We start from the raw sequence: 8,123 nt of genomic DNA, 5'->3' as shown, positions 1-8,123 counted from the left end.
TGCCCAGGCTGGTCTCAAACTCCAGGGTTTAAGCTATCCTCCCACCTTGGCCTTTCAAACTGTTGGGATTACAGGCATGAGCCACTGCATCCAGGCAGACTAGCTATTCCTTTTTTAAAATTGTTTAAAATATATGTTAAAATTTTAAAAATAGAGTTGATATCCCACTATGTTGCCCAGGCTGGTCTCAAACTCTTGGGCTCAAGTGATCCTCCCACCTCAGCCTCTCTAAGTGCTGGGATTTTAGGCATGAGCCACCAGGCCTTGCCTCTATTTATTTTTGTGTGAGTTTTAGTAGTTTGTGTCTTTCAAGTAATTGGTCCATTTTGTTTAAGCTATCAGGTTTGTGGGCATAGAATTTTTCATAAAATTCCTTTATTATCCTTTTAATGTTCTTAGGATTAGAAGTGATTGCCCCCTCTTTTATCTCTGATATTAGCGATTTGTGTTTCTTCTGTCTCTTTTGTCTTTCTGATTTGCCTGGCTAGAAGTTTATCAATTTTATTGCTCTTTTTGAAGAACCAGCTTTTGATTTTATTGATTTTCTCTATTAATTTCCTATTTTCAATTGCATTGATTTCTTCTCTAATTCTTATTATTTCTTTCCTTCTGCTTCCTTTAGGCTTACACTGCCTTCTTTCTCTAGTTTCCTAAGCTGAAAGCTTAGATTATTTGTTAGATCTTTCTTCTTTCCTAATGTATAACTTCAATACTATAAATTTCCCTGTAAGCACTGCTTTTACTACATCCCATAAATTTTGATGTTTTATTTTCATTTAGTTCAAAGTATTTTAAAATTTCTCGAGACTTCTTTGACTCACGTTATTTAAAAATGTGGTGTTTTGTTTTGTTTTTTGTTTTGTTTGAGATGGAGTCTTGCTCTGTTACAGGTTCATGCCTGTAATCCCAGCACTTTGGGAGGCCGAGGCGGGTGGATCACCTGAGGTCAGGAGTTTGAGAACAGCCTGACCAACATGGTGAAACCCCATCTCCACTAAAAAATACAAAAACTAGCCGGGCGTGGTAGCACGCGCCTGTAGTCCCAGCTACTCAGGAGCCTGAGGAAGGAAAATCACTTGAACCCAGGAGGCGGAGGTTGCAGTGAGCCAAGATCATGCCACTGCACTCCAGCCAAAATTTTCATTCATATGAAAAATTTCATTCATATGGTGGGGAGTTGGAGGGATGCTCTCCTGCGCAGAATACGGAAGGTTGTGTCCAGCATGTCCCTCTGGAGGGGCTACACCATCAGCTAGCGACATTTCTAGGCCCACCACTGCAGCAGCTCTAGCTCACAATGTCTCCTAAAGCTCACCCAACAAGCTCAGAGTAAGTTTTGGGGGCGTGGGTGACATGCCAGAACGGGCTGGCTAAGGTGACAACTCAAGCAAAGACCAGACAGGGAGGTGTGAGTAAAAACTATGGAGCAGTCTTCTTTTTACAGAAACTGAAAAAATAAATGGAACATCTTTAACAGTTTAATAAAATAAAATAAAATAAAAAAGCAGATGTGGCATTTAGCACAATGCCTGCCAGCCAGTAAGTGCTCAGTAAATGTCCACTGTGATATCCAGGATGATGCTGAGAAAGGTGATCTCCACAAGTGATCTCCACCCACTGTGGCCGCCTTCAGAGGGAGTCTACCAGAGACCAAGTGAGTGTCCTCAGCACGTGCATTTTCCAATGACTATCTCCCCGCACCCCAGACACTCCACTAATTCTGCTTCCAGGCAAATAGGTGGCCTGTGGTACCCTGAATATGGACCAGAGACCTGGCACCTCTGTGCCTGTCTCATGCTGAACTTCCTGGCTGGAATTCCCTTCCCTACCCTTCTCCAACCAGCTACCAAGACCTGGTTTAAAGGTGCCTTCCAGACTGGGCACAGTGGCTCATGCCTGTAATCCCAGCACTTTGGGAGGCTGAGGCAGGCAGATCACTTGAGGTCAGAAGTGGAGATAAGCCTGGCCAACATGGCAAAACCCAGTCTCTACTAAAAACACAAAAATTAGCTGGGTGTGGTGGCGCGTGTCTTTAGTTCCAGCTACTCGGGAGGCTGACGCAGGAGAATCGCTTGTTCCTGGGAGGCAGAGGTTGCAGTGAGCAAAGATCACGCCGTTGCACTCCAGCCTGGGCAACAAAAGCAAAACTCCATCTCAAAAAAAAAAAAAAGTAAAGATCATCAGAGGATTGAGGTCATAGGGCAAACCACTGCCTTGAAATATGAAGATGCAGTGAAGACAGAATCACAGCTGAGAGCTGCCTACCTGAAGAAGCCACGGGAGCCAGGAACTGGCAGGAGCATTGAGTCAGGAATGGACAAACAGCTGGAGGCTGAGCTGAGACTAGCTTGAGAATTAAAAATCCCTTGGGGCCCAGTGTTGGTCGGGGGCCCACACTTTCATGGATTTTACTTCCAGGAGCCCCACAAGGTTCTCAGAGTGTATTTTTATTAACTGCTTGTCACACATTTATAATACATTTCCCCATCAGTTTTGATGGTATTGTTTATTACCTCATCATATAACATCAGGATGTGCATGCATTCATGTGTGTGTGTGTGGCTTAAACACATGGGTTTTTTTTTCTTTTTTTTAACATGGGTTTTTCTTTTTTTTTTTTTTTTTGAGACAGTCTCGCTCTGTTGCCCAGGCTGGCTTGCAGTGGCGCGATCTCGGCTCACTGCAGGCTCTGCCTCCCTGGTTCAAGTGATTCTCATGCCTTAGCCTCCCAAGTAGCTAGCATAACAGGCACCTGCCACCATGCCCAGCTAATTCTTGTATTTTTAATAGGGATGAGGTTTCACCATGTTGTCCAGGCTGGTCTCCAACTCCTGACCTCAGGTTACCTGCCCCTCTCAGCCTCCCAAAGTGCTGGGATTACAGGTGTGAGCCACCACACCCGTCGTATTTTTCTTATGTAACAAGAAGCCAGGAACTAGGCAGTTACTGATGTCTCTTGAGCTGCTCCAGGATACCATAGATGTTTTTCTGGTGTTTGGCTCCATCTTTAGTTTGTTCCCTTTATTCTCAAGCTTGTTGCCTCCCAGTTGCAAAAGGGCTGCAATAATTTTTTGTTCTGCAAACATTTTCTATGGTGAAAATAGACAGATAATTAACTTTTTTTTTTTTTTTAGCATGATTGAGCAAAGTTTGGCTGTTGTTGATTGTTTAGAATTTTTTTCCTCACCTTTACCAACATAACCTGGTTATGTTGATATCAGGTAAATTGTTTAGTATTGTTTTTAAATTTGGGGAAATTTAAGCACCATTTAGAACAAGTAAGTTTTGAACAGTTCTGGTGGCAGAATATTTTCCTTAGTGCAATTCCTAAATATAAGTTTCAAGTCAAATAGACCGTGTGAGGAAGTGTCACGGTATATTAGGCTGAGAGGCGCCCTGAGTCAACACAGTCTGAGCTGGAGTTGGGACAGTAACCTCCAAGTGTTAGCAGGCAGCTGGGCTTTCAAACTCTCCTCCTGTGTGGTGGCTCACACCTGTAATCCCAGCACTCTGGGAGGCTGAGGCGGGTGGATCACTGGAGGTCAGGAGTTCGAGACTAGTCTGGCCAACATGGTGAAACCCCGTCTAAATTAAAAATACAAAAATTAGCTGAAAATCACTTGAACCTGGGAGGTAGAGGTTGCAGTGAGCCGAGATTGTGCCACTGCACTCCAGCCTGGGCAACAGTGGGAGACTGCATCTCGAAAAAACAAAAAACAAAAATCTCTCCTCCTGGAGCCACACCCATAACCCGCGACCACCCAAATACTCGCTAGTAGCCAGGCCCTGGGCCCCGCATCTTCAACAGATGTGCCTGTCCTTCATTTCACTCTCTGCTCTCCACTTCACTGACTGTCCAAACATGGGACAAACAGTACTGTAGGCTCCCTCCCTGGACCATCTAGAAGCTACTTTGGGGGCAGCTCCTGGCTGTCTTCTGGTCTGATACACATCTCAGCCTCTACTCTGAAGAACATGAAGTCCAAGGTCAGTTTTACTCAGCTGTGTCCAACCTTCCAGCCAAAGGGGAGGGAGTCGGTTCTTGGGTCACCCTCTGGCATCCTGGGGCAGGACAGGTCTCCCCTTGCTCAGAAGCTGCCTGCCAGGCTGAGATTGGTGCCAACTCTGGCTTCACTTAAAAAGAAACGCTGGGGCTTTGTCTAGCACCATTTGGGATGAGGTTGCTGACTGTAAGGAGTTTCAGAGGAAACAATCAGTGCCCTCTCTTCAGTACTGCCCCCGCTGCTCCTGTGGAGACAGTGCTCGGTACAAATAACACGAACAGCCAACACTGAGTGCAGATTTCTGTGTACTGGGCTCCGTTCTTCACACTTCCTATATTAACTTAACGTTGACCAGGAGGACACAGGCAGAGAGGATGAGCCATGTGCCTGGGATAAGTGAACACTGGGGACAGGATTTGAACCCACACACTCTAGCTTCAGAGTTCCTAAACGTTGCCCCGCAGACCCAAACGGAACAGGAACTTTTTTTTTTTGAGATACAGTCTCGCTCTGTCTCCCAGACTGGAATGCAATGGTGCGATCTTGGCTCACTGCAACCTCCACCTCCCGGGTTCAGGCGATTCTCCTGCCTCAGCCTCCCGAGTACTAGCTGGGATTACAGGCGTGCGTTACCACGCCTGGCTGATTTTTGTATTTTTAGTAGAGACAAGATTTCACCATGTTAGCCAAGCTGGTCTTGAACTCCCAACCTCAGGTAATTCTCCTGCCTCGGCCTTCCAAAGTGCTGGGATTACAGGCGTGAGCCACCATGCCTAGCCATGGGACCTGTTTCCACCATGACAAGAGAAGGGTTCTCACCAGCTTGCCAGTGAGATGTGAGAGTTGATGCTGGATTCCCCAGCAAGTGTTCCCCGTGGTTTACAGTGTCCACAATGTGCTTAAATCCACATAAGTCCTAATCCCTGCCCAGAGGGCAGATTCTGCATGAGGAAGGAATTGCTCCTGGGGCCAGAATCCTACAAGGACCTCAGGTGTGCCCATCATCCCTTTAGCTTGGAGGATGGGGTCCTGGGGAATAAAACGAACACTCAACTTGGTGATGATCACTTGGAGAGGCTCAGGTGGGCACGTAGGTCAGACTCTAGACCCAGAACAGCTTGTAGACTGTCCATGAGGGACGGTGGTCAAGAGAAGCCACAAGGACATGTGACATGGGACACTGACCTTCAAAGGCCATTTGACCTAGTCAAAGGCTGAATGGAAGGAAGGGAGAGAAGAAAGGAAAGTAATATTTGCTGAGCATTCCTGAAGATCTGGGGCCTGGCTGCTGGAAACATTTCATTTTCATTTCATGATATGAGTTTAATCATTCTCTTCAGTCTTTGTTGTTCTCATAAAGTCCTGGGTTTATGAACAACCCCAGGTATTATTTCAGGCAGATAGATGCCTGGGAGAACTCGGCTTGCTAGTATATCAAAATTTGCTCACAGTAAATAAAATTCAGGTTAGCGGCCTTTAAATGTTGTCTTTTCAAAATTACATTTTATTGATTTCTTTTTATTATAGGAGTAGAACACATTTGCTGTGGAAAAAAGAATTAAAAAAAAAAAGCATCCACAATTTCACTATCCAGAAAGAATCACAGTAAATATTTTGGGATATATCTCTCCAAAATTTTTAGCATAATTTCACAAAAAATGAAATATTAAAAATGGCTTTCAGCCAGGCGCAGTGGTTCACGCCTATAATCCTAGCACTTTGGGAGGCCAAGGCGGGTGGATCACCTGAGGTCAGGAGTTCGAAACCAGCCTGGGCAACATGGTGAAACCCCATCTCTACTAAAAATACAAAAATTAGGGCAGCGGGCACCATGGTTGGTGGCAAGGCGACCACCACGGTGGAGGAGCTGGTCTCAGGGGTGCGGCAGGTGGCAGACTTAGAGGAGCAGTTCCGCTCCTACTCAGAGAGCGAGAAGCAATGGAAGGCCCGCATGGAATTCATGCTGCGCCACCTGCCCAACTACCGCAACCCACCCAACAGCGGTGGCCGCCTGGACCAGCTGCTGTCCCTTCTTCATGGTCTGGGCCAACCACCTCTTCCTGGGCTGCAGTTACAATAAAGACCTTTTAGACAAGGTGATGGGAATGGCTGATGGGATGGAAGTGGAAGACTTGCCACAATTTACTACCAGAAGATAATTAATGAAAAAGCATCAAAGGTAAGCCACAAGATTTATCACATTTTCATCATCAGCTACAGGATTAGAAAGGAGGCTGGGATGAATGTGACACAGACCACAGCAGCTCTCTTAAGACTCCTGGTATTACCAACATAAAGAGGCAGGTGGAATGAGAAGGACTCTGTCTAGATTGGCTTAACATTCTCATTTTTCCAGTGGTTATCACTGCAAAAGTATGTATGGATGGTTATGTATTTATAAATCATGCACTCTGAGTTCATCAACATAGCAAAAGCCCTCTTTTTCTATTTTTCTGTTTTTTTTCTTACCAACAAGGTCTCACTCTGTCACCCAGGTGGGAGTACAAAGGTGCAGTATTGGCTCATTGCAGCCTCGAACTCCTAGGCTCATATTTTCAGTTTTTAAGTATCAGAATTTTTGCTTAAAATGCCTTTTTGGGCTGGCGCAGTGGCTCACGTCTGTAATCCCAGCACTTTGGGAGACTGAGGTGGGCAGATCACCTGAGGTCAGGAGTTCGAGACCAGCCTGGCCAACATGGTGAAACCCTATCTCTACTAAAAATACAAAAAAATTAGCTGGGCGTGATGGCACACACAATTAGAGACAAAATAAAAATAAATAAAAAAAGAAAGATTTTTCAGGATTTTTTATATAGGGTCTCTCTCTGTCCCCCAGGAGGTTTAATATATTTTGTATGTTAGAGAGAGGCTATATCTTTGGGGTGTTGTAATGAAGGTGTTCATTTTTGCCACACTAAGGTGTAAAAGGGATGTGTCTGGCTATATGTTCTATATAGAGTATGTAGAACAGTGTTATATGTTGTCAGAATTTTGTTTGTCTGCAAAAATACTTGTGTATAACAGACATTTCTTAATTATCTAGCCCTTAATTTTTCTCGTGAAATAGAAGTTCATTACTTTGGTTAAAAGTTATAATTATTATGCACGGTTGAGACTATTCTAGGAACAGTAGCAAAAGAGAAATACAACTGTGGATGTGCTTTTGTTTTTAAAGGAAAAAGAGGCCTGGCGCGGTGGCTCACACCTGTAATCCCAGCACTTCAGGAGGCCGAGGAGGGCAGATCACGAGGTCAGGAGTTTGAAATGAGCCTGACCAATGTGGTGAAACCCTGTCTCTACTAAAAATACAAAAATTAGCTGGGCATGGTGGTACGTGCCTATAATCCCAGCAATTCAGGAGGCTGAGGCAGGAGAATGGCTTGAACCCTGGAGGTGGAGGTTGCAGTGAGCTGAAATCACCCCACTGCACCCCAGCCTGGGTGACAGAGCGAGACTCCGTCTCCAATAAATAAATAAAATTTTAAAAAAAGGAAGAGTAGTTTTTCCTAAAGCAGCAATTCCCAAACTTTTTGGTCTCAGGAGTTTACACACATAAAAAAAATTAGAGGACACCAAAAAGATTTTGCTTATATATCTGTTAATAATCCCCACAGAGGCTGGGCACCATGGCTCATGCCTGTAATCCCAGCACTTTGGGAGGCCGAGGCAGGAATATCACTTGAGCCAAGGAGTTCAAGACCAGCCTTGGCAACATAGTGAGATCCTGTCTCTATAATAATCATAATCATAATCACCAGCATCATCCCCACACAGAAAACTAAAGTAGAATTTTTAAAAAAATCCATCTGAAGTAAGCAATGATGGAATCGTTGGATGTTAACATATTTTTATGAAAAATAACTATTTTCCAAAAAATGAGAAAAGCGGCATTATTGTCTATTTGCAAATCTCCTTAATGTCTAGCTGAACAGAAGACAGCTGGGTTCCCATAGCTGCTTCTGTCCTCAATCTCTTGCCATTTCATATGTCATGTAGCCTCATTCTATGCTCATGAGAAAATGAGAAGGGAGAAATCATGTCTTAGTGTGACTATGAAAATAGTTTTGACTTCAAAACTGAAAACCCCCCTGAAAGGGTCTTGCAGACTTCTTGGGGGTC

At 44.5% G+C, this 8,123-nt stretch overlaps 1 pseudogene; it reads left to right on the top strand.

Moving 5' to 3' along the window:
• Nucleotides 5,824–6,759, top strand: CDKN2AIPNLP2 (CDKN2A interacting protein N-terminal like pseudogene 2; annotated as a pseudogene).

The sequence above is a fragment of the Homo sapiens genome, chromosome 2, assembly GCF_000001405.40.
Source record: "Homo sapiens chromosome 2, GRCh38.p14 Primary Assembly".
Classification (NCBI taxonomy): Eukaryota; Metazoa; Chordata; class Mammalia; order Primates; family Hominidae; genus Homo; species Homo sapiens.
Note: the sequence above shows the minus strand (reverse complement) of the source record. Positions and strands in the feature narration are given on the sequence as shown.